The sequence below is a fragment of the Homo sapiens genome, chromosome 3, assembly GCF_000001405.40.
Source record: "Homo sapiens chromosome 3, GRCh38.p14 Primary Assembly".
Classification (NCBI taxonomy): Eukaryota; Metazoa; Chordata; class Mammalia; order Primates; family Hominidae; genus Homo; species Homo sapiens.
The window spans coordinates 148,936,068-148,963,731 of record NC_000003.12 but is presented as its reverse complement, the minus strand read 5'-3'; the positions used below and the strand labels follow the sequence as shown (position 1 = coordinate 148,963,731).

Below are 27,664 nucleotides of genomic sequence, written 5' to 3'. Positions count from 1 at the left end.
AGATTAATCTGGAAGCTTAGTAAAGTAATTGGAGCAGTTGAAGATGCAAGAGGCTGGAAAGCCAGTTAGGAGGCTCATGAATAATCTGGATATAAAGTGACTGGAGGCTGATTTAAGTTGAGAGAGGAAGGGGAAGTAGGGAAGGGATGATTTTAGAGAATCATTGTTTAGAAAAGATAAGCAAATGTAGCTGGATGAAAGAAAGGTGGAAGGAGTAAAAGATACTGTAGTTTACCTGCAGTTTCCAACCTGGAGGGGAATAAGAACTGGGAGACATGCCTTGCCTCCCATCCCACCTTGCTCACTTTTCTCCAGCCACACAGGTCTCCTTGCTATTCCTTAAGCAAAGCAAGCATCACCCCTACTCAAGGCCTTTGCACCTGTCAATTCCTCTGTTCTGAACATTCTTCCTCCAGAGACCCACCTCCCTTGCTTCTTCACTTTCAGCCCCTACCTGGCCCTCTCCACTCATTTATGCCTGTAAAAATGGGCATTTTCAATTAATACACTATATTTCAAAATGTTACTTTTCCTAAAAATTCTTGCAGGTTCATAGAGATAGGGAGCTTAAGCTATAGAGATGGCTAAAATGTACCCTGGTTAGAAAGACTTCCCTGACTATATCCTTCCTGACGATATATCATATATTAAGTCATTTTTTTCTGACTAGCATGTAAGGGTGTATGGACAAGACTTTGTCCTTTTTAATGGCTTTATCCTCAGCACCTAATACAGTGCCTGGCACATAGTAAATTATCAATAAATATGTGTTAGTTAAATTAGTGAAACAGGCAAATTCAAAAAAGAGGCTAATTTGGGAATTGAGGGGGAAGATTATGAGTTAGCTTTAAATTCACATCATCCTAAAAGACAACATTTTTTGATATTGGCAAGAGGTCAAGGCTAGGAGTGCAGCTTTGTGCCTTCACAGGTCTAACTTCTTTATGAGCATCAGCACAGCCTCTTGTGGACAGCGCCCCTCCCTGGGGGTTATCTCAGTGTTTTTCCTCTTGCATTAGGAGTCCTTTTCTTTCCCTGTGTGACTCATCTCCTCCTGGGTAGAGGAGGGGAGGACAGCCTTGGGATAAGGGGAAGTATCAAGAAGCTGCTGAGCCTATGAGAGGACAACCCAGAAACCACATTTCCTCTCTTAAGCTCCCCATCATATAACTAGTCAATGCTTTCTAGACACTCCAGATATAATTATTGGGATGATACACTACAAACTTTTCAAAATGTATTTGACATAGCCTGTAATAATCCAAATGAGAACAGAGACAACAAGAAGGCACACCTGTAGCTCATTTGTTTCCGCTGTTTCAATTGCTCTAATTCCCCTTTTCCAGTAGCCCATTAGGATCACCTGCCAAATTGACTTATTTAATGAAATTTCTGATGTACATTCATGTGTTTTCTAAAATAATCTCTTTAAGAAAGCACATTTTTCCTTCTCAAATGCAGTTCTGCCTTTTCTTGATAGGAACCCCATTCTAACATCACTACTGACTGTATTGAAATGAATGAATACATTATAAAGCACTTTATCTTTATTGCTGCCTGAAGTGGAGAATATAATTGCCAGCTGTGTATCCCAGGCACATAATTCCATTACTAGGTTCTTACGGAGCCATCAGTCCCATGGATGGTCCTTTGCTTGACAAACCAGCCCATCAAATTCCAAATCTGCCTTAATGGCAAATGCCACCTCTCGATCAGGTCACTGCTCCAGCCTGAATTCAGCAAATGTTACCAGAATACTTACCCTGGGGTACCCACGCTGCTCTTAGTTACGGGGTGCCTATCTTGCTCTTAGTTCTGCTCAAAAAAGCTTGTCATGCTTGAGGTCACAGCTTTTGGTCAAGGGTCCTTCCAGGATGAAGCTGATCTACGTTTTCTTGGACTGTCCACAAACATCCTTAACAGGTGCTAACTCTATTTTTAAATACTCTAGCAATATTTGTATGGGGAGCAGGGGCCAGCCACTATTCGGAAGTGGGCTGGTGAGGATTTTGATAGTGTTTTGGCTTTTTTGTGTTGGCTGGGTGGTGACACAGTTTCTTCAGATATCTTTAAATATATCATAGTCTACCAAATAAAGATTAGTTGAGGTGTGTGGGTTGGGGAGAAAGTGGTTAAGAAAACTTTTCTGCCAGCATACAAACTACCCTGGCTTCATACTTTGCTCTAAATTTCTGTGTAATCCCAGGGTTTTAGAGGTAAACCTGTACGGATCTCCTATCTTACACAAGAGGGATGAGCACTCACATTTACTGAGGCCACATGAGGGCTTGGCGCAGTTGGGAGCTTTTCATTTACTCTCTCAGTTGGCTGATGAGGAAACTGCTGGTACTTTTGTCCTAGCACACAAAGAATATAACCATCCTGAAGGAAAGAGAGTTTTGATTAAAGAGGGGAGGGTGAGAGAAGGAGTAACACTGGGGCAGGGCAGAGGATGGTATGCATGGATGGGTTTGCTGGAAGGAGAGGAGGACTCAGGAGACCCGGTGGTAGGAGGGTGATATGAAGAGGAGGGTGGCCCAGGATACACTGAGCACACTTTTGCACGTTAGTGGAAGACACTGGAAGTACAATGTCTGATACAATTTCTGGGCTGCCTTTGCCACAATATTCCAGGTTGCTGATATCTGCTTTCAAGGTAAGTTTGTCTGATTAGAATCTAGAGAAGTGTTTGAGAAAGCAAAGAGGGGTGAAAATGTTATTACTATTATTTTAGTGGTGGTAATCATTACCACCTGCTGAAAGCTTAATATGTGCTACAAACTGCTATGTGTATGATGTATCTTACATAAGTTAATTTTTACGAAAAACTTGGAGGTTGGTGTTCTTATGCTTATTTTAGAGGTGGATGAACTTTCTTGGCCAGATTCTCACAGCAAATGGGAGATCTGGGATTTGAATGCAGATTTGTCTAGCTCCCAAATTTATGTGATGGAATATCAAATAAATAACTTAATCTCTACTCATAAAACATGGATTCCATATCCCTTTTAGAACCATTTTTATGTGATTCAAGCCAATCCAGAGCATAACAACACTAGAAGATATAATAGCAGTAAGATAAACTGCCTCTTTAGCTATTTCCAAATTCATGGTCTCAATTAAGCCTTTTTCACATGTGCTGGCCCTTGTAATTCCTGATGTACTTTTCCTAATTCCAAATGTCTGGTAACAATTTATGATGTATAATTAAATGGGCTACCCTCCTTTTATCACGCCTTCTAGATATAGTCCCATCACATGAAACAAAGCGAAGCAAAACACTTCTTTGATTTAATGTTGACAGTCTCACATTCTCATTCTTATTAAGCTAATAACATTTAAAGATGATACTGAGGCTCTTTAATAATCCAGCAAGAAGAAAAATACAATTAGGCAATGATATGGTTTGGCTGTGCCCCCATTCAAATCTTGTCTTGAATTCCCAAGTGGGAAGGGAACCTGTGGAACTTGTGGGAGGGACCTGGTGAGAGGTAATTGAATCATGGGGGCAAGTCTTTCCTGTGCTGTTTTCGTGATACTGAATAAGTCTCACGAGATCTGATGGATTTAAAAAGAGGAGTTCCCCTGCATAAGCTCTCTTTGCCTGCTGCCATCCATGTAAGACATGACTTGTTCTTCCTTGCCTTCCACCATAATTGTGAGGCTTCCCCAGCCATGTGGAACTGTAAGTCCAATTAAACCTCTTTCTTTTGTAAATTGCCCAGTCTTGGGTATGTCTTTATCAGCAGTGTGAAAACAGACTAATACAGGCAATATCAGGGCAAATAAATACATCTTGGGAAGTGGTAGAAAGGGGAGGAGAAAAGAGATCAGGATTGAGTAAATGCCATGACTAACTAGGTGGGGCAGATTTTACCCGCATGAAGAGAGGTGCAAGGGCCCATGTTTATCTGAAACCCACCTGCTCAGTGGAAACCCTCCAAAATTTATTCCCATGTAACAATGGGCATTCTTAACAAGAGGCATAAGGCTATATCATGTTGGTTAGAAATCCTAAAGAAGAGTGATGCTGTGAGGAAGTAGGGTAACAAGCTGGTTTCTGGGTCTGGTCAGCCTTCTCTGTGAGGGGCCCTGAGGATATTGGTGGACGTGTTCAGGAATAAGAGGGTTCTGGGGCTGAGAGAAGAAAGGGAGCACAAAGGAAACAGCTAAGACTTTATTTCCGTGGGCTTTCTTGAAGGTCAGTCTGGGTAGAGTTCCAGAGATAAGCTCACTTTTGCTCTACCTTCAACTTAGAAAATTAAGAAAATGCCAGTCACCATGGAGGCCTCTGGGAAATGCCATGCTTCCCTATGAAGGCAGCTTACCTCTGCCCTGGAGGACTCTACTTCTATAGTTTTTCTTTTTTCTTTTTTTTTTTGAGACTGAGTCTCGCTCCATCACGCAGGCTGGAGTGCAGTGGCAGTGTCGGCTCACTGCAACCTCTGCCTCCCGCCTCCCGGGTTCAAGCAATTCTCCTGCCTCAGCCTCCCAAGTAGCTGGGATTACAGGAGCGTGCCACCATGCCCAGCTAATTTTTGTATTTTTAGTAGACACAGGGTTTTGCCATGTTGTCCACTCTCGAACTCCTGACCTCAGGTGATCTGCTCACCTTGGCATCCCAAAGTTCTGGGATTACAGGCATGAGCCACTGTGCCCAGCCTGCTTCTACACTTCTTAAGGAAGAGGTTGCTTGTTTGTTTATGTATATCTATTTATGTATTGATATCTTCTACACTCCTTATTTACTAGGAAAAACTCAGTTTTCTTGGTATGTAACTGGAAAGTGTGCAACGGGGAAAATGTGGCTGTTTATAGCCCTCTGACCTTGAACATGTTACCAAAGCAATTTGTGTTTCAGCTGCTTCCTGTATGAAGTGGATCTCATAGGCAAATATAGAAATGATACATTCTTCATTGAGAAACATCACATCACTGTCCTCTTATGTAGATGAAAGTATTTTTACCATATGGCTCCTCCTTTCATTGTTAACAACCTGCTCCATCAGGAGAGAGATAATGAATGCAAAGAAAAAATACTTTTTCCACTCTAAAAGTCCATTCAGATTCAAAAGTCCTTACAAATACCTGTGTTAGAGGAAGAAACATCCACATCCCCATGCTGCATTTGGAGTGTGTTTTCTGTTTGTTCTGTTCTCAGTAGGGAGAACCGCTTATTACTGTCCTAGGCATGAGCCTTTTATATACTTGAAAACCGTCGCTAGCTCACCCTGTAACCTTCTCTCCTCCAAAGGGAATCACCTTGGTTCATTTAACCTCTCCTGATCTTTATTTTTCAGATCTCTAATCACTTTGTGGCTTGCTTCTCAACTGACCCCAGTTTCTCTCTCTCCCATTAATTGCAGACCTCAGAACTAGACCCAGGGTCTGCCCAGGTTTGTGTGGCTGGGCAGGGGAGATGGGAATGGAGAGGCGGACAGTGACAGCAGTTACTTGTTAGTAGACCTATAAGGTGGGAGAGATGGGAGGAGTAGGCAGTCTTTGTATAACAGTTAGAAGTCAGGATTTTTTTTTTCCACTTCATTTTATTTCAGAGTTTCTGAAACAGTGGCACGTACATCGATAGACAATTTCCTGCCGAAGCATTGAGCAAGACTTTGCCATGGGCCCAGTACTACTGCTGGAGTTCAAAAACTACCAACTCTTGGTCCCCAGGCTGAATCCTGCCTGTGGACAGGGCTTGTTTTGCTCACACTGTTAAAAATAATGTTTTAATTAGTTACTGACTCTCATTTCAAAATGAGAAATTTGATTTAGGAATCATCCAGAGTTCCAGCTTCTGTGAAACTGGCGGTTTAGGAATAGTGGGCTTGCATGTCAGGCCTGGAACCATGTGCTGGAGCTGAGCAGCAGCTCCCCCTATGGATGGGGGACTCCCCTCCAGTTCCTTTGAGTCCTGCCTTGCCTATTGTTGAGGACTGAGTTGTGTCCTCACTTCCTGTCATTCACATGTTGAACCCCTAACCTCCATAGTGACTGATTTGAATGAAGATAGGGCCTTCAAGGAAGCAATTAAGGTTAAATGAGGTCACGAGGGTAAGGGGAAGAGACACTAGAGAGCTCTCTCTCTGCATGCATTCAGGGGAAAGACCTTGTAGGGAACAGTGAAAAGGTAGCTACAAGCTAGGAAGGGAGGCCCCACTAGAAACTCACCTTGATGGAACCTTGAACTTGGACTTCCAGCCTCCAGAACTGTGAGAAAATAAGTTTGTGTTGTTTAAGCTACTCAGTCCGTGCCATTTTGTTATGGCAGCCTGAGCTGATGAAGCCAGCCATGCACCTCACTTACTTTGTGCCTAGCTTCTGAGGTTATCTGTGTCGAGGCCCCTGCTCTATGTGTGGAAGTTAAAAGAGCGAATTATCCTGTTCCTCTACTTTGTCTACTGGCAGAGAAAGTTAGAGAGAGAAATAATTTGTAACAGAGGGCATCATACAAGTGATGTACAAACTGGCATTGGAGGACAGAAGAACTGTCTGTGGCTGGGATGGGAGGGACAATGCCTCTTCATTGTGAGGAGTGAGCGTGTCAGATGGGTGTTCAGAGATTAGGAGGATTTCAGCAAGTGGTGAGGGAATGAAGGGCAGGAGCAAAGGCATCCAGGCATGAAAGTGGATGGTAATCCAGGTTTGACTGGAGTTCCAGGGTACGTTGCAGGTGGAGGGTGTGCAATCGGAGACAGGGCCAGAAAGGGAGGACAGGGTCTGATCAGAGCCCTGAATGCCACGCCATAGGATTTAGTTTAATTCTGGAGTGAATGAGGAGTACCTGAGAAGCTGGAAGAGGGAACCCAGGGGCTGAAAGATATATTTTAATTGATTAATTCTCTGTTTACTGAGAACATCCGTTGTGTCGAGGCACGGCAGATCCAATTGTGGACAAATAGAAGTCAGTCTCTGCCTTTGCGGAGTTGACAGAAATAGATGATTAGATTTATAACAACGTTAGGCAGTGAGGAGTGCTATGAAGAAAATACAGCAGTGTCGGGATAGAGTGTAATACTGTGGGTGCTAGTGTAGATGTGCGTGCTCAGGGAAGGCATGACATTCGGGCATAACCCTGAATGAAAGCGAGAGGGTGAACCATGTGGTATCTGAGAGAATATAATTCTAGATAGAGGGACAATCAAAGTGCAAAGGCCCTGAGGCAAGAACACAATTGTGTTCAAAGAACAACATAGAGGCCGGTCTGGCTAGAGTAAGCAATGAGAAGAATTGTGGGCAAGGAAGTTGAAGTAGTCTCCTAGTCATACACAGGCTAGGAGAAGGGCACATTTTGGACCAGTACACAAATGAAGTCCTCAAACAGAGCTGACTGCGGAAGACAGGGCTTTAGGGACAGGATGAGATGGATTACCCATCTCCCAATCTCTGGATCAATTGTGTGCGGTGGCAGCCCTCAGTGGAGAGGGATAACCGAAGTCCTGTCTCTCCCAAAGTTCAGACCGTCAGCCTATAACTGTCCCCAAAGAAGGGTGAAGGCAGGGACAGGGTTTATCTGCTTCCCTAGCTCAGAAGCCCAGGCGGTTCCACAGGGGATCCGGGAGAATACAAGTGCTCCTCCTCTAACAAGCACCACACTGCCGCTTAATGTTACAGGCCTCTGACAGATGAAATCAAACCTGTTTTGGCCCTAGAGTGAAATGATTTATTCCAGCAAGTGGAAATAGGAAGAGTTGAAAGGCAGTACAGGCCAGAATGTGGGTTGGCTTCGTAGACTGAGTAATGTGGGTTGGCTTGGTGTAATTCGTTTTTGGAATACATTTTTTTTTAAGGTTTAGTGAGGAGGAGGTAAACAATCCTTTGAGAACCATATAAAGCTCTGCCTCCAGCGTGTGATGGTCAGAGAGCACGGTCATTGCCTTTGGCATTCTCTGCTAAGTTTTCACCCTTGGTGTTTTGCCTTTTCCTTCTTGCTTGGCTGGGAGAGTTATGAGCTCCTTAGGAAAGAATGTCCTGCTTTCTCTGTTGGCCCTGCTGAGGGGCAAACATTAAAAAAAAAAAAAAAAAAAAACCATTAGCTGTAAATCTCTGTGGTAAGAGTGCCCTCTTCTGGTTCGGCTTCTTTGTCTTGAGCTGCCAGTTCCCTAACAATGCTGTTTTTAGGCTTCCGATCTTTTTGATGAAATAAACTAGCAAAGAAAAAAAGCAAAAAAATACCATTGAGGATACATTCATTTCACCCAGTGTTTCTAGAACCCCTTCCACAGTTCTAATTCTTACTTGGCCATATTTTCTGAAATTTCGGACCCAGACTTTCTTTGGGATTTACACTTAGCCTTTTGCGAATCCAGAAAAACAGGTAAAAATAGTAGCATTTCAGAGCTTGGAACGGGTGTTGCAATGGGTTCGTCTGGTCACTTTTATGCTTCTGTTTCTATGCCATTTATTAAGTGCCTACTCAATTTATTGAATATTTGAGGGCCAAGCATTCTCCTAGGCCCTCCAAGATCATAAATGAGATACAGCCCTTGCCTTTGCTAAGAATGTCGTGGGAAATATAGATGAGTAACAGAAAATTACAACATCAGCTGACAAATAACTGAGATGTGAACAGGTGGTTATAGGGGGACATGAAGGAATTTCTTTGGTTATTCAAGCCCAAATGTGAGAAAAATCAATGCCTCCTCAACTCGAATTGTTCCTGTAACAGTCACATCTCTTTATGTACTAGATCCAGGGCTCTATGATGAGCAAATCGTGATGGGTTTAATATATTTCTTCTACTAAACCCCAAAAATAATTTTAGATCTAAAAGGGACATGAAAATATGTCAGTTTTCTCCATTTTTTTTTCTATGTCAAGGGAAAAATTTTCTTTTACAAGGAACATTTTGAGAGGCTCTATATATCTAGCTTCAAGTAATTAAAATTGGTTTTAATTGTGGAATACCAATGCACAATTCTGTGTGGGGTTTGCTAGAAATCATAGATTCAATAGAAACAATTTTCCTCCATATAAAGGGAGAGTTATATTTCATGAGACTCTCCAGAAATCATTCTTCCATTCTGGTCTCTTGTGACTTTTCTCTGTGGGCTCTAACCCATAATCTTGCATATATACAGCTCAGGATGTTACTTAGTGTCCCAATGGCCTTTAAGGTTGTATTTTGTTTTATTTTAGAAAATTTGTTAATGAAATTTTCTGTTTTCTTCTATGTCCTGGATCTTTTGCATAAGAAAAGCTTTAATACAAAGTAGGAGAAGGAGATGGGAGGCAGAGAGGAAAGAGAGAATTCATTTGTGAGCTACAGCAGTCTTCCTGTGTCCATCTCTTGGCTATAAATTCAGATAAAACATGTCAGTGATATTTTAGGGGATGCTTCTCATCAGGTATATATGGTGTTGCTTATTTTACTTTATTTAAAATATTTATTTTATTTTTAACTGCCTATGCAAATTTATCTGCATAAATCTGGTCGCTTTTTTCATTTCTTTTTCCAGTATTGGTTTTAACTCTCAATCATGTACTAAAGAAAGGACTTCTAACTTTTAAATTAGAACTGATAAGCTTTCTTTCTCATAGGACATCTATTTCTAGGTTCCAGCTTTGGTTCACTATACCTTGTCCAAAAATATCTTCTAAACTCAAGAATTCCTAAGGGGGCTTTGGAGCGAGAGGTATCCACAAAATTCTTAGATTACACCCTGAGAAACACTGATGTAGGCACTGTTTTTCTGATTTGAAATTAAAAATCTCAAATGGACTTGGAGGAACAGAGGCTTAATGTAGCTCTGAGCCTGCTCAGTTCTGAGCTAGTCTCAGTAACCAACTGTGGCTGGAGACACAAGGGCTGTACATATACACAGATGGCAGGCAATTGAGCTTTTCAATTCTGCTTCCGTTTTTTTTTTTTTGGTAGGAGCAGAGTTGCTAGATCAAGGATATCAGTTAAACATAATGCTCAAAATGGCAGTGAGGAGCAACCAGTGAGGGAAGCGGCAAGACTGACGGGACAGGGTGAAGGCTCCTGAGTTCCATTGGCTCTGTCATTCATGGGTGATGTTCCAGAATGAGCAATGTATGTGTTCTGAGCTTCAGTTTCTCTATCTCTAAAGTAATTAATAGTGTGCTCCTTGGAGGTGCCTCATGGAGAATGAGCAGCGAGGGGGCAAGGGATCCTCACCTCTGTTTCAACTTACCCTTTCAGTTTTTAATTCTATTTTATATATTTGACTTCATCATAAGCTCTTGTCTGAAGAAAGGGTTACCAGCAAAACAAAACATAACAAAAAAACTTTTAAAAATTATTAGACTAAATGATTTCTAAACTTCCTGCTAGCTCTAGAACTATATGGGAGCCAGAATAGTGGTATTTGTTGCTTTTCTGCCTAGTGTCTATAGTGACTTTCTTCTGATTCTCCTGCAGCCATTTTTGTGACTCAGCTTGGCATTGCCAGAGGCCATCACAGAGAGCTTAGGCATTGAGCTAGTCCAAAGGCAGCCAAACAGAGGTGGGCCCTGGTGGTGGCAGCCTTTAATTTCAGAATGAAGCCTCACCTGTGGCTACCCTGTCTCACAGGGTTTTCAGTTACATGAATCAATATGAATCAATGAATTCCTTTTTTTTTTTTTTTTTTGCTTAAGCCATTTAGAGTTGGGTTTTCTGTCACTTGAAACCAGAAGATTTCTAATTGAATTAGTTGGTATTTAAAAGATAATCAACAAACATTTATTGAGATGTCGTAGAGTATAAAATAGAGTATTAAATGCTTGATATAAAAATCAAGGCACTATTTCTATCAATAAAAAATCTAACTTTGCTGTCCTTTGTGTATAGAAATGACAGTCCTGATTTACTATGTATAGGATATTCTCTTTGTTTATATAACTACTGATAAAAACTCCTACTGAAGCTATTAAACTTACAGTCTTGGTCTCACTAACATGTTGGGCTATCTGAACTCATGTGGAGATAGGCAAATCTGCCAAATATGAAACCAATAAAAAGAGATCACAAAACTACAAAGCACAATGAAGGAAACAGGGCTAAAGTTACTTTCCTGTACTGCTTGGTGAGGGCATAGATCGTGCCAACTTTTCCAGGGCAATTTGATGTTATTACCAAAAGCCTTCAAACTGTGGTCTCACTTTGACCTATCAATCTCACCTCTAGAAATTTATCCTAAGGAAATAACTATGGATGTACACAAAATCATAGATACAGAGATGTTCACATTGTTATGGGCTGAACTGGGTCTCCCGAAATTCATATATTGAAGTCCTGACTCCCAGTAGTGGAGAATGTGACTGTATTTGGAGATAGGACTTCTAAAGAGGAAATTGAGGTAAAATGAAGTCCAATGGGTGGGTCCTAATTCAGTATGACAGGTAACCTTATAAGAAGAGGCAATTAGGACATAGACATACGCAGAAGAAAGACCATGTGAAGACACTGGAGGAAGAAAGCCATCTACAAGTCAAGGAGAGAGGCCTCAGAATGAAATCAATCCTGCTGACATTTTGATTTGGGACTTCTGGCCTCTAGAATTGTGAGAAAAGAAATTTCTCTTATTTAAGCCATGCAGTCTGTGGTATTTTGTTACAGCAGCCTTAGCAAACTAATACACACACACACACACACACACACGCACACATACACACACAAAGGAAAACATGTTAAATGTTGAGCAATGGGGGATTAATGAAACACGTTTTGGCTCATCTGCATGATGGAGCTCCATTCCTACATTTAAAGTGATGCTGATGAACACTGTCATGGAAAGCTACTGATGCTATGTCATTATATAAAGCATATTATCCAATAGTATGTATAGCATAATATTTTATTTGTATGTGTGTGTATATATATAAAGTAAATATTAGTTTGGTCTGAGTGGTGATACATTCCTTTATTTGTTTAGGAAAGTAAAAATTTGTGCTGCTGGCTGCTGGATCATGACGTTCCCAAGTGAACACTAACAATGCTTACAGAATATAAACAATGTTCAGACAAGGCCACTCTGTGACTATGTTTGGAACAAGATAAAGATGAGGCCACTCTATAACCATAAAAATGACTAGATACATTCTTCTTTTAACAGAAGTGACTGCTATTTTCTTTCTTTTTAAATGAATGACAACTCTTACCCACTTTAGATTTTTTCCTTGCTAAGATAAAAATTTTTTCCTTGCTAAGATAAAAATTGTACCTTCATTTTGACAGAATCTCATCCAGATTTGATCCCTACTTTCCTAATTTCTCCTTAAATTTATCCATTAAATTCCCAGATCTTATAAGAAGCCCTCTCAACTCCCTCTTATCAAGAGGCTCCAGAAATCTGGTGGTTTAGGTCAATGGGCCTTAACAATTCCAAATTAGATCAATTTGTCCCCTCCCACCGACCACAACTAGCAGGACATTCCATCTCAGTTGAGTTTTAGGAGGCTCTTCTTGATTTATAAAGCTGTTGAGGATTTTAGGATGTTCATTGCCCTTTTTAAGAGGGCAGCTTCCTTTCCTCTACCAAGCTGGGCACGGGAATTTTTTGTTGTGTGCCAAGGCCAAAAACCTGGGGTTCAGTCCAGGTCACTGCTTGAGGACTGTTTGGGAGTGGGGCATAGATCTTCACCATTTCTTGAACCCAATGCCACTGGTCTCCTCCTTGGCAAAACTTCTGTCCTCCTGGCTTAGGCCTCCACTCTCAGGACTAGTCTCTTTCTGGGTGGATAGAGTGTTAGCTTTCTAGCACCTCCTGGCTTCTGGTTTGTAGCTCTGCAACTATACTTATTAACAAGTGGCTGAGGCTAGGAAGCTCAGACTTAGAACACGAAATTTGCTTGGGAGTGAGGGAGGAAAAAGCATCTCTCCTTCTTTTACAGTGGTGCATTCAGCACATACCATTTTCTAAATAACACTCTGACTCATATTCTAGAAAGGGTTTTGATATATGTCCTGCAGTGTTAAAAGTGGTATTATGGGCCTTTAAAGTGTTTACTTTTGTTACTTATTTTTACTTTCTAAATTTTCTTTCGTTGAACATTTGCTTCCAAAATCAGAAAAGTCATTTATTTTAGCTAATAAAATAACGAAACAGAATAAGAAGAAAGGAAGAATGAAATAAGTAAAACAAGCCTGTCAGTAGTGGATGTATAGACATATTGATGTAGTATGAATTTAGGACAGCCTGAAAATTGGCTTTCTCTCAGTGCATAAAGGCTGGCCCTATGGAAGTGGTAGGAGGAATGAGGTTCATTGTTGAGGAGAAATGTCTTTTGAAAGGGAAATGACATAATGGCTTTTACCCCTAGCTCATATTAGAATTACTCGATACCCAGGCCCCACCCCCAGTGATTTATGTGATTACTGTTTAAAGGAAGGAGAACATGGATGAGGAATGAGGCCCTCAATACAAAACTTCCCTATTTACATTTTTCCTTAGAGCCATCTTTGGAGGAAAGGTGGGATCAGATTATTCCCTTTTATTAGTGTTTTCTCAGATATTGTAAGGCTACCCCATTGATGTAAAAACTATGTTTACTGTTACAGGGAAGAACATTTGAAAGCAATTTTTACTTGTACATTTTATTGTATTGTATGTTAGAAAAATATGGCCGGGCAAGGTGGCTCAAGCCTGTAATCCCAACACTTTGGGAGGCCGAGGCGGGCGGATCACGAGGTCAGGAAATTGAGACCATCCTGGCTAACATGGTGAAACCCCATCTGTACTAAAAATACAAAAAAATTAGTTGTGTGTGGTGGCGGGCACCTGTAGTCCCAGCTACTTGGGAGGCTGAGGCAGGAAAATGGCGTGAACCCAGGAGGCGGAGCTTGCAGTGAGCCGAGATCGCACCACTGCACCACTGCACTCCAGCCTGGGCAACAGAGTGGGACTCCGTCTCAAAATAAATAAATAAATAAATAAAAAATATATATATACACCAAAGTCGTGATTTCATGGCAATGATATAGTTTTTAAACAACTAAGTTCATTTATGCAAAAATATAAGCCAACTGGCATACACATATTAGGTAAATTACAGTAGAGGTGGTACACAGATATGACAAGAATCAAGACGGTATGCAAGACTTTAGGCTGGTAAACACTGGTAGAAGTTGTTTTATCAAATCTTTCTGAAAGAGGTGAGAAATTCAGAGCAATTCTGAGATGAGAAAGAGGTGCAATTCAGAGCAGTGCTTTCAAACACTGGACTGAAAAATATGTGGGGCTGGCTGAGAGCTTGTGGAAAATAGAGATTCTAGGTTCCTGCCTAGAGACTTCAGCTCAGGAGATCTATGAAAGATATCCGGTCACTCTGTTGCAATCAGGTGTGGGAACCTTGCAGATGGGAGTCATACTTCCTTGGGCTCGAAGACCAGTAGTTCTTGGTAATTAAACTTATTTTAAATATTTGCTGTCTGTGAAGTCTTTTAACTGTTGTTGATTGTTGCAGTATGGCTTTGAAAACTTCTAATTTTTAAACTGGGCCTCTGGGTCTCAAAACTGGGTTCATGTGTGTAAATTAAAATACACACAAGTGAGCACACTATATCCCGGCCAAATACACATTTTAATTTGATTTAACCAATAAAACAAACGGGAATGAATTATACCATTAGGCTCAACAGGGCTGCCAGAGCAAACCAACAGCGTGATGCAGACCAGGCATGGGAGTCATAAAGTGCACGCTTCTAGTGGAATGGAAGATGCTCGAGTGGGAGCTGTTTCATGGCAAATTAATGTTTACTCGGTGAGTTTCAGAGGAATCATTGTGAGACAGCTGGAAGAAAGGCCCTGTATGGGAGGACTCTGAGATGGAAACCCTGTGTTGGGGCCTCAAGAATCCTGTGAGAAGGTGACTTAGAGACTTAGAGGGGAGTGGGTGAGAAGGAGGTGAGAAACCAGAAAGCTGAAATCATGGATAAAAGAGAAATAGGAAACTGTTAGCACCTGATAAAATCCTTTTCCTGAATGACAGCAAATGGTTATTCCTGAGGGGGGAAAAAAAAGCAAAATATTATCCCAGAGGGAATTAGAAAGCAGAATAAGTTCTTGATGGAAAGCAAAAAGGTCAAATATAGGCTGGGTGCCCCAGTGGTTCATGCCTGTAATCTCAGCACTTTGGGAGGCCAGGGCGGGTGGATCACCTGAGGTCAGGAGTTTGAGGCCAGCTGGACCAATATGGTGAAACACCATTTCTACAAAAATACAAAAATTAGCCAGGTGTGCTGGTGGGTGCCTGTAGTCCCAGCTACTCGGGAGGCTGAGACAGGGAATTGCTTGAACCTGTGAGGCGGAGGTTGCAGTGAGCTGAGATCACGCCACTGCACTCTAGCCTGGGCGACAGAGTGGGAATCCTCTAAAAAAAAAAAAAAAAAAAACTCAAGTACAGATCTATATAGTTACAGGTTAATATCTTAAATTTTTGGAGGCAGGCCTTACTTAGTTCAATGACTGTTTTATAGTCTGACTTGGTAGGTGTTAGGTTATATGCCCTGATTTGAGAGTCAGAAAAAAATGGTGATAGCATCTGGGGTGTGAAGCCCAAGGTGGCCCCCAGATAGTCCTGGTTGGTGTAACATGGCATGTGAATTGCAGAACTTCAGAATTGCAGGGCAAGGGTTGTGGGATCCAGGGATCCCACAAGGCAAAGGGGACAACTGCCCCAGGCCAGGCTGCTCAGCAGGGCTTCCGGCAGCACTAGCCACTGTTTTTCACCTGCTTTCAGTTAAAAAGTCCTTGCCACAGATTCCTAGTCAAATCCTAATTGTCCTCTCTCCCTCTGATGGAAAATTTTCACCATGTTGAGGAAGGTTGGGACAAAGCTTAGTTTTCTCTCTTTTTTCTTTTCTTTTCTTTCTTTTTTCTTTTCTTTTTTTTTTTGAGACTGAGTCTCACTCTGTCACCCAGACTGGAGTGCAGTGGCAAGATCTTGGCTCACGGCAACCTCGGCCTCCCAGATTCAAGAGATCCTCCTTCCTCAGCCTCCTGAGTAGCTGAGATTACAGGTGCAAGCCACAACGCCTGGCTAATTTTTGTATTTTTAGTAGAGACAGGGTTTCAGTTTAACTCTGTTTCCTTTCCTTCTCTGTTTCTTCATAGGCGTATATATTTTTCTGGCTTGTTTAAATCTAGTTTCAGTGTGTCAGTCCCCTTTTTCTGTTGTTCCTATGGAGATTGAAGTCACAGGATTTTGGGTGCAATTGTAAAAGACATTGGTTTTATGATACCTTGGTTATATGTGGGATAATTTTACAAACTAATTTGAATTTTTTGACAGAAAATAAGAGTTTAGCACAGTCTCCCCACTAGGTGTCACCCTTGATCCAATGAAACCTGGCTAGTGACATAAGAAGCACATCTATAAAATATACCTTTATTACCTTGGTTCTATAAACATGAATAACAAAATATCCCCACTTCTGTGTTCTTAAGTCCTTTCCTGGTGATATCTGTCATAAAAGGCGACCATAGATCAGTTCTCTGGAGGACTAATTTCTATCACAGAAGGTGACATGCCACTCCTTCAACGACGCAGGCCAGCGGCCAGAGGAGAAGCCTCCTCAATTCACCGATTGCTTTTTATGACACAGGACCCCGCCCCTTCGGAGATCACATTGGACTCTCCTGTGATTAGAGCCAGTGTTTACAAAACGCCCTATTTCTGCTTGCTGCTTTCTGAAGTGCTGTGTCCTAGTCTTTCCAGGCAGCACTTTTCCCGCCTCCACCTGTCTGCGCTCCTGGGCATGCGCCGCGGGCAGAGCTGCCACTTCCCACCTTATGGAGCAGCGGGCCCACGGGTGACGTTCAGGAAACTCGCAGCCCGGGAGGCTGCCCCGTCGCCCATAGAGCAGCGCCGGGGCGATGCAGGCCAAATCGCAGCTAGCTATTATTAATATTTCGAATTTCAGAATTTGGAATTATTTAGATCGGCTACAAGTATTGGCTAAGTTCTATTTGTTTCCCTTTGCACTGCCTTTAGAGATAAAAATGGACATACAATTTTGAGTTAACAGGAAAGCAACTGATTTGATCAATCTGATTCAGAAATATTGTCTGGGGTTCTAAATAAAAATATATTTTATTACTGTTTTAAAATTTTTCTTTCTTCAAAATATAAGGAATTCACTTTCAGAAAAGAAATGGGGCACTAATAATAAGTGTTTATATAGCACTTTCCAGTTCAGGAGGTTGCTCAAATCCATTATCTCCTGTTATTTTCAGCACAGCTGTGGGAGATGGGTATTATTGCTACCATGCCACTGACTGGGCCTAGACCTGTACCATCCCATGCCCGTCCAGCTGAAATTTTAATCAAGACCTCATGACCCCAGAAGCTGTAATAGCCATTAAGCCAGTGATTCTTAACCAGGGTGTGCGTCAGTATTTCCTGGTGACCTTTTCAACATATGTACGGCCAGATCTACCCTGGACCTCCTTTGTCAGAATCTCCTGGCTGATACTGGATTCTTTCAATAAAGAAACACATAGCCTAGCATCAAGACAAGGTAAATACTTAAGGTGATGGATATCCCAATTCCCCTGATGTGATTATATGACTATAAAGTTACCACATGTACCATGAAAAGGTACAGCTATTATGTATCAATACAAATTAGAAAATAGAGATGCCCCTTTAGGTATAAATATCACGTCAGGTATGGGGACAAATAAATGTTTTAGGAAGAAACAAAGCAGAGTGAGGGGGTGGAGAGTGACAGGTGGTGCTGTTTTAGAAAGCGCCTGTTAAGGAAGGCTACACTCTCTGCGAAGGGACATTTGGACTCAGACCATAGTGAAGAGGAGCAGTAAATATCGTGGATGTGGGTGGGAAGGGGGTTCCAGCAGAGGTAACAGCAGATGCAAAGTCCCTGAGGCAGGAGCGTGCTTGGTGTGTGGAGGAACAGCGAGGAGACCAGTGTGGCTAGAGTGGGGCTGGTGAAGGGGAAGTACTAGAGACAGGTCAGGAGGGCAGCCTGGAGCCAGATATTAGTCCTTCACCTGGTGCTGTACAACCTTTAAAACAGGCGCAGGTACTCCTTTAAAACAGGGGCAGTGCTTTTTTCCCCCCTCTACCTTGCTAAACAATGAGCAAGAAAAACATGGAAGATAAAAGCACAGCTAAAATACAGTCTTGATGAGCTGCCACCATTGCAATCACCATGAAGCTGTAGTTCAGGGCTGTTAGGGAGACTGAGAAGAGTGAAAATGGTTAGTGGTGAATGAGTAGCTGCTAATTTGATAATCACCGTGAATCCGAGTGAAACAGATTTGTTCCCCTCACTGTCTACAATTTACTTTTATTTGTGATTGAATTGTAATTTCCATTTAAAATCATTATAAGGAAACAATACGTTCCCATCACACTCACTTAAGTACCATCCTGGAGGTTTTAGTTTTGCTTTAACATTAAATCTGGCCATGCTGTCTTTCATTCCTACCATCAGGGCTTTCCCTTAAGCAGATGCTGTTCTTTTTCTTGTGTGTATAACATGGGAACAAACCACACATGCCTGGAGAAATGATGATCCTGTTTCATTTTTAGATAACTGCAGATTGGTTAGTTTTGAAATTTTCTCTCAAGAGAGATAAATGTCTTTCCTAATTTTTTAGGAAAAATGCCCCTTCCATATAGATATAACTTTAAAAATATTTATTAAGGCAGGAATAGAGTGCCATATCCACAAAGTTTAAATCCAGTACTGTAGTGGATCGTAAACAATTAAACAACTTACCATGATGAGTATAGTTGCATTACACAGTGTAATTTATTTTCCAGATTGATTATTTTAACTACGATATGGGAAATAAAATGTGCTATGATTGGTCACTTGTTTGTCAGCTGGAATAGTCAGATTAAAGAGGGCCCCAAAAGAGAAATGCAGGTAACTTTGTCTGTCATAGCACAGTCACAGAGCTCACACTCTGAGTGGTTGAAACATAAAGGTAGGTAATGACTTCAGAAAACAGGTATCTTCTCAGGCCTCAGCATACTGTTGTAAGAAGCAGAGGGTGAAATGAGATGCAAAGTGTGATATATAAATGTGCACAATGTGATATAAAATTTAAAAAAAATGTATATTTAGACAGGGTCTCATTCTGTCACCAAGGCTGGAGTGCAGTGATGTGATCTCGGCTCACTGCAGCCTTCATCTCCCAGGCTCAAGTGGTCCTCCCTCCACAGCCTCCCGAGTAGCTGGGACTATGGGCATGCACAACCACGCCTGGCTAATTTTTGCATTTTTTTGTAGAGACGGGGTTTCACCATGTTGCCCAGGCTTGTCTCGATCTCCTGGGGTCAAGCAATCCACCTGCCTTGGCCTCCCAAAATTCTGGGACCACAGGTGTGACCCACTGTGCCCAGCCAGACCTTACGTTTGTTGAAACAAAATCATCTGTTTACCTACGCATTATATAATATATAGAATGATATACTTGCAATATTGCCAGTAGTATTTCTTTAATAGAGGATGGTTGAATTTTTATTTGGTCACTTATCTATACTTTTTAAGATAAACACATACTTATATAATTTTAAAAATGTGTACCATAGAGTTTATATACTTTTATAATGAAGAAAAAGCACCAATAAAAGTTTTTTTTTTTTTTTTAAATGGCATGTTTGTTGCATTGTATAAAAATCTCATTCTGGCTTCTTCCCAGCCTCATTTTTTTTCCATATTCCACCAGTGAATCATTGATTCCTGTCTCTTTTACTTCAACGCAAACTTAGTTTTCCATAATAAAAAACCTGTAGCTTGACTCTTCTGTAATTTGTCATGTTTTTTGCTATATCACTCCAACCACAGAGGTAGGGATGACATTTGTCATGTTTTTGTTATATGACATTTGTTATATGACATGTTTTTGTTACATGACATTTGTCATGTTCTTGTTATATCATTCCAACACTCCAACCACAGAGGTAGGGACGATTTTTCTGTGTGACAGTTAATATTTTATGGAGGTTGGTCTGGATTCTGGACCACACTGTTGGCTATATGTATTCTTTTCCAGTAGAGGGCAGCAGATGACAGAATGATGAGTCATTAAGATGAACTGTGTTGACAGCTTTCTGGGAGACATGTGAGAAATGGTAGAGGCATAGTTGGCTGGGTGTCATAGTGACTCAGTCATTCAGAAAGCCATATGGTTTATTTGTATTTGTGCAAATTAACAACAGAATGTTTCCCTTTCCTCCAAACTATGGGGATGCAGAAAATTAACTTCTGCCCCATTGTTAGGAATTTCCAAAGATTCCAGTGACACAAATGTAAACACTTAGGAATAGAACTTGTACCAAATAAGAGTTATTTTATAAGACTTGTATACTTTGCACTATATTTCCTTGGAGGTTCTGATTAACTAAATTTGAGGTAGGGCCTCAAGTAAAGTCGACATATCAAACATAGATAAACCATTCTTGCCTTAAAATACATAAAATATGAAAGTCAGATAAAAGGGTACAAATTGTATATACAATTAAAGGGTTGTAAAGGAGCGGTGATTAGTAAAGAAAATACTCAGGAAACAAATTTGACTTTGAGAAAGGATTTAAAGAAAGAAATGCCAGCAGTTTAGAGGAGGGACCTGACAAGATTGAAAACTGGTGCCCACTGAATCCAAGTGAATCCAGGCTGCACAAGGATTCTTTTTTTTTTTTTTTTTCTGGAGACAGGCTGTCACTCTGTCACTCAGGCTGTAGTGCAGTGGCTCATTCATAGCTCAATGCAGCCTGAAACTCCTGGGCTCAAGCAGCCCTCCTGAGTAGCTACTCAAGGCTCAATCTACTGAGTAGCTAGGACTACAGTTGTGTGCCACCATGCCCAGCTAATTTTTTTATTTTCTAATTTTGTAGAGACAGGGTCTCATTATGTTGGCCAGGCTGGTCTCAAACTCCTGGCCTCAAGCTATCTTGCTGCCCTGTCCTCTCAAAGTGCTCGGATTACAGATGTGAGCCACTGCATCCAGTTCTGTACAAGTATTCTATTTGGTCAGCAGAATGCTTTATATTTTTTAAAATTTGTATTTCTGTAGATGGGGCATGCACCTTCTAGTTTGCTACCCTCCTCACCATTCCCTATCATCATACACCTGGCACTTTACACATTTCTCTTTATCTTCCTAGCTCCTGAAGCCATTTGTGACTACAACTTCTGGCTTAGAGGAACTAAGGAGGTGGGTACCAGAGGGAGGAGGCAGTCATCTAGGAGCAGGTAAATCACCTGTAGAGGGTGTGTGGGGTTTATATAAACTGGATTACTCAGCCCAAGGGGCCATGTTGGAAAATAGGTAATAAGGAATTGAAGAAGTAGACAGTGGTGGTGATTTGAAGAGTAGTTTAAACCTTGTACTGCCACACTCCAGGATGAGAAAACCAGAAAGTCCTAGAAGAAAATGAAAGAACTCACCCAGAAAAAGTGCTAGAAAATCTGTTTCTGTTTAATATGTGCTTTCTCTATGGGTTTTGATGACTAGAATTGCTCTGCTGAAAAGTAACAGCAAGTGCCAGAGTCAAACATGATTGACATGTGTGAGTGCTGCCCCTCACTGTCACTCCAGAGCTCCCCACTTACCTGTGTGTCCCAGAAAAGTTAAAGGCTTGAGAGAATCAGCTCCCCACATCCATGACATGGGTCTCTCCTTGTACAATATTTAAAAATATATATTATGTATATATATGTTTTAAAAGTTTGATTTTGCTCTGTCACCCAGGCTATAGTGCGTTACAGCGGTCACAGCTCACTGTAGCCTTGAACTACTGGGCTCAAGGGATCTTTCTGCCTCAGCTTCCTGAGTAGCTAAGACTACAGGTGTGCACCACCATGCTTTAAAACTTTTTAGGAAAAAGGGTTGCCCAGGCTAGTTTTAAACTCCTGGCCTCAAGGGATCCTCCTGCCTCAGCCTCCCCAGTTGCTAGGATTATAGGTGTGAGGCACATGCCTGGCCCTTGCACAACTTTGAGAGCACTATGAAGTGCTAGCATACTGCCCCAGAGTCAGTGGTGGTCCTGGTGCCGACATTGACTCAATGGCTCACTAGAGCCACAGCCATTTAATCTATTGCTCCTTAGTTTTCTCATCATAATTTAGAGGATTGCACAAAGCTGTGTGAGAAGACCCCTTTAGCATTAGCTGCCTATGATTCAAACTCAGAAAAGAAAGGCCAAGGCCCAAGCTGTGAATCAAGCATGTGTGCTCTTGAGAAGAGTATTAGGCACATTGCATATGGGAGGAAAAAATGAGGAGGGGTGAACAGGGGCAAAGAGTGTGAAGTCTAAGAACATTAGACATAGGCTCCAATTCTAATTCCAGCTTTTCCTAGCTGAGTGACCATATAACTTCTCTGAGCCTCAATTTCTTTTGCAAAATGGAGACATTGGTATGTGTCTGGCTGGACTCTTTGGAAAATTAAATGAGATAGTGTTTTTAAGTGTCTGGCACATCTTCACTGCTATCCTCGTCCTCAACCTCACCACATGTAGAAGTTAGTCTTGTGAATATCCCAAACTTCTGTCTGGAAGAGGCCCTCTAAATGAGAAGTCTCAAGGACACAGCATCGAGATTTCATCTCTAGGAGAACCATGGACAGCATCTGTGCTGACAGTTCTTTGATTAACTCAGTTAAAACTTGGAATGGCTAATCTGCTGTTTTCAGGCAGTTTTGATTGCCACAGCATTTTGCTGTTGCACCGTCATCAAAAGAATCAAAGGAAGAATTGTGTTTAGGATCCAGAGGCTGCTTCTGGAGAATGTGGGGAAAATGCTGACAGCTCACTGTGATGATTTGCTGGGGACCGAAGAAGAAAGACGTTCAGACCAAGAAATGGCTCTGCCTACCTGCCTCTGAGGCCTGCAGCTCTTCACTGGAACCTTGTTGCTTTGACATGAGGCATCTTGTCCTCCCCAGAGTCCTTTTTCCATCTCCAGCAGAAGCCGTGTTTTTCCGCACACCTGAGGGATAAGACATGTCTCCCTAAGAGAGGCCTGGTATAGAGCAGTTGCCTGTAGGGAAGGAAGAAAGTTGAGTGGGAAAAGGGATGGTTCTGGGTGACTGAAGAAAACCCCAGGAGGTGTCTCTGTGACATTATCTTTTCCTCTAGAAAACCATTTTCTGAATCTAACCTAATAATAAAGTAATCCAATCAATAACTAAGTAGAAAGGCACATCATGTTAGACTTTCCGTCATCCTTAAGTACAAATCTGTTTTGGAAAGAACTTCGGAGATTTATTTTTAGGGAATGAGATCACTAAAGGTGGTTTCATAGTTTCACAGGATAACACAAAATTTCTTTTATTGATTTTTTTTTTTTTTTGACATGGAGCCTCACTGTGTCATCCAGGCTGGAGTACAGTGATGCGATCACAGTTCACTACAGCCTTGAACTCCCTGGCTCAGGTGATCCTCCTCCTTCAACCTTTTGAGTAGCCAGAACCACAGGCGTGCACCACTATGTCTGACTAACTTTTTGTGAAGATGGGGTTTCGCTATGTTGCCTAGGCTGGTCTTGAACTCGGGCTCAAGCGATCCGCCTGCCTTGGCCTCCCAAAGTACTGGGACTACAAGGTGTGAGCCACTGTGCCTGGCAACTTTTTTTTTTTTTGAATCAAAACGAGGCCCAGGAATTACTGATTAACTTCTAAAATTCTTGGTGGCTTGCTTAAAACTCAGCCATAGATGCCTAAGGACAAAAGAGGCTTGATTGTGGGAGGTGAGAATAAGGCTTGGGATAAAGTGGGCAGTGGTTAAGGAGTTGGAGATTCAGAAGGGAAAGGAGACGCTGCAACTGGTTTTTAGCTGGAAGTGAGAGAAAGAGCACAGATTCCTGCAAGGGCAGAGGAGCACTTGTGGGACTGGGTGGCAGGGCCCAGATTAGGGTGAGGCAAGTGAGACACCCAGGTGCTAAATTCAAGGAGGCACCCACAGTCAGGGCGCGTGAGTGCAGGGGTGGCACCTGAGAGTGAGTGCCTCCTTCAGTGTGGCATCACAGATGCTCGAGTTGTTCATCCTAGTCCAGGCTCTGAGAGTACAGTAAGATGGAGCAACATTTTGTTTTTCCAAGACAGTTTCAAACTTTCCTCCTATTTTGGTTACCCAGAGGTTCTGATAAAAATCGAAATAGCACAACTTTGGGAAAGAAATTCTCCTATGAGTATAGGGCTTATTCTATAGTAAAAATATGGCTCACGACTTACCAAGATGTACACATTTGTGGTTTAAGGTAAAAAAGTGAAAAAAAAATCATCCTCCAAATTAGTGTCTGTTTATATCCCGGTGTGTGGATGGAGAACTAAGATTTTTTCCTCTTTCTCTCTTTTCCTCTACCTTTCTTCTTTTCTCTTTCAACTCTTTCCTTCTATTCTGTCTCCCCTTCTCCTTCCGGCCCAGTTTGACACCACTGAAGTGCCTGCCCTTCTCTTTTTCTTCCTCCTTCCTTTGCTTCCGTTGCTTATAACAGATTCGGAGGGGGAAAAAAAGAATCAAATATCTGTTTCACAGCCATTTCATAAACAATACTGGCTCTTTTCTTTTGGTACCACTAGGCAATGAAAAGCACTGTAGGAGGACATTTGTGACAGTATAGTGATGAATTCATGACGAGTCGGCAGCGTCGACTTGAAACAGGTCCACTGTGTTTCTCTACATTTAGCCAAGACCAAACCAGAATGAATGCCTATGGGTGCTCAGCTGGATGCATGAAACAAAGAGGTTTTCTATTTTGTGATGAAAGGAAAATAATTTGAGGGGGAAAAAAAAAACCCTCTACTCAAACCAGAAGTTTAGTTTGTGTTTGTTTCAGCCAAACTACTTCAAGCCCTGTCATATTTCTGCGGACCTCAATTGTTGCAGAAATGTTTTCAAAGCCTTTCAGGTTTTGTTAAATCTCTCCAGAAGTTAATTGAAAAATGGAGTTACTAACACAGCTTTTCCAACATTGGATCGTAGTCAATCTTTTTCAACAACTTTTCAACAGCTTGAATTTTTGAGCTAATTTCCTTTTTTCAAAATTATGTTTTGAAGTAGATACATCTCATGTGAAATACATTTTCAGAAATCTATTTGAAAAATTGATAAGCATTAAAAATTTCTAGCCTGCCACAATAGGAGGAAAGATGAACATGGCTTATGTTATTCTCCTGTTTCTTGTTTAAACATTTCATGATAAAGAATATGTAACATATTGCATAAAGATAGGAAAACAAACTTCAGCCAGAACTGAGGGCTGGTGTGTGGTTTTGTGGGATGTACACTGCACAACACTGGGAACTGTTCCATATTAGCGCCAGTGTATATTTGTATATTTATTAAAATAATTTCTTGGTGAGTGGCTTGGAAATGTCTTGGAGAAGGGGCTTTCCCACCCCACCCCACCCCGTTAATTTGCAGAAAGGCATCATTTGGGAAGGCAGTGGCTCTGAATCTGAGTTAATATTTATAAGTTTTATTTTTGCTCCTGTACTCCTAGGTTTGGATTGGTTGTATCCTGTTGTGCTTGGGACCTTTCTCCCAATTTGCCGATCATTCCAAATGAAACAACAAACAAACAAATCAAAAAACAAAACATGGAACGAACGATTTTGCATTCTTCAGTTCCTCTGATTTCCATTTTCTTTGTCCTGAGCCTAATGTTTCTTGCTGGGTTCCTTTTCCTAGTTCTTTCTTTATGCCAGATGCTGCTCGAAGTGTGTATGTGTGCCAACTCATTAAGTCCTATGTTCTTAGCCATTTTTTAAGGATGAGGATACTAAGGCTCAGAGAGGGCTGCTTACATAGCTGGTCTGTGATGGAATCAGGATTCCAATCCAGGTAATGCAGCACCAAAGTTCCTAATTTGGGTCAATTCCTCAAGCCCTTGTCCCCTCCAATCTCAACTTTCTCTCACTTTCTCCTGACCACAGCAGAGGTCCCGCATGCCTTCTGGTGGACCCTACTCTCCTTGTGACAGATGAGGACAGGAGGGGGCAATTGCCGTTGCGGGTTGTGTGACTCCAGGGCCATGGCATGCTGCTGAAGCCAGAGGTTCTTTCTTTCCTCCCCCATCCACTTTCTCAAACCTTCAGCCTCACTTTGGCAGGCTCCTCCCTTTCAAGAAACTTATCTTTATATCTTCGGGATTTTACGTGCTAGCCCAATATTTGTGGTACATAGATGGGATTTCTTTATGTTTACTCATTCTCTGCTATGTTCCAGAAATAATGTAAAAGGGGGTCTCATGTATAAGCAAAATAAATTCAAAATGATGAGACAAAATAAGTGGATGAAGAGGGCAGGGCAGAAGGAAAATGAATTTGAAAAGGTCAGACGAAATCATGTACAAGTTTGGTCAACACTACATGTGCCCAGCACATTTGCTGGTGACAGGGAGGGATCTGGGTGGGTGGAGTGGGGTGGGGCCATGTGGAGGGAGAGAGTAGGAAAAATAATGTAACCCAGGAGCACTACTCATGGCTGGATTGACTGGGGGATAGATTTTAGAATATCTAATGTGGTATTTTCCAAAGAATATCTAATGTTGTGTTTTCCAAACCATGTTCTAAGTATTACCAGTTCTATGGAACTTAATAGAAAATAAGAGAACAGTGGGGTGATGGTCATGGTTTGTGGTTTGATGTTTCTTTACTGAGAGATTAAAAAAAAAAACTCATGTACATTGTAAGCCTCTAGGAAGGGGATGGGGCTACAATTATTTCTAGACATTTTGACCATGAGGATCTTTCTTTTGGAAACTTAGAGGACTACTGTATTCGGAAGAGACATTGGGGAAAGGAGTATAGGTGGATAAGAAATGCTTGTCTAAAGAAGTTATCCTAAAAGGGAAGATCAGTAATTTTAAGTATATAAAGGGTAAAAATGTATACACAGAAAAAATATTATAGAAAAAATCAAGGAGAAATGACTGAGAAAGGATGACAGATAAAAGGCTAATTTTTAATATAGAAAAAGTTCTTACAAATCAATTTTTAACATCACCAACCCACCAGAAAAATGGACAAAGGACATGAACAGGTAAAAACAAATACAAATAGTTTATAGACATGTGGAAAATATTTATGCTCACTCACAAATGGAAAAATACAAATTAAGTTTAAAAATGAGGCACTGCTTTTTTACCTACCAGAGCAGCAAAGCCTCAGGAGTTTCATAATATGCTGCATCGGCCAGGGTGTGGGTAAGCAGGAAGCCTCCATGTCTGGTGGGAAGATAAATTGGTGTAACCCCTTTGGGGGCACTTTGGCAACCTCTATCACATACATTCAAAATACGGTACAGCTAGACTCTGACCATATTTTTGCACCTCTTCCACTGCCTTCCAGGTCTGAGCCAAGACCTCTCTCACCTGGATTGCTACCCTGGTCTCCTCTCCTGTCTCCCTCCTATCACCTTTGTCCCCAACATCTACTCTCAACACACAGTCACAGAAAGTGTGTTAAAAGCTAGATCATGTTTCATGTTTTGCTCAAATTCTTCCATTGGCTTCCCATCTCACTGAGAGCAAGAGCCAAAATTCCTATATTGGGCTGCAAGGCCCTACCTAACTTGGCCCCAGCACCAATTTGATCTTATCTCTTATTCTGTTCTGGTTCCTTCTGCTCCAGCCACAGTGGCCCCCTTGCTTTTCTTTGAATTTGTCAGCGATCCTTCCATCTTAGAGCCTTTGGACTCAATGTTCCCTCTGCCTAAAACAGGCTTTCCTAGTTATCTG

The 27,664-nt window shown here is 41.5% G+C and overlaps 1 long non-coding RNA gene across 1 annotated transcript, besides 1 other annotated feature; it reads right to left on the bottom strand.

Annotated features, from left to right (window-relative positions):
• Window positions 5,720–6,221: an enhancer, noted in NCBI's record as "NANOG hESC enhancer chr3:148675298-148675799 (GRCh37/hg19 assembly coordinates)". NCBI's record gives its function as "activates a minimal SCP1, AML or CMV promoter by ChIP-STARR-seq in naive H9 embryonic stem cells {active_cell/tissue: H9 hESC(naive)}" and the evidence as "EXISTENCE:reporter gene assay evidence [ECO:0000049][PMID:30033119]".
• Window positions 7,644–27,153, bottom strand: LOC107986045 (uncharacterized). Its single transcript, XR_001740565.2, has 3 exons — window positions 27,077–27,153; window positions 22,799–22,912; window positions 7,644–8,150 (listed from the first exon to the last, which is right to left on the bottom strand). It is a non-coding gene; the product is annotated as an uncharacterized LOC107986045 (long non-coding RNA).
• Window positions 27,154–27,664: the final 511 nt, after the last annotated feature.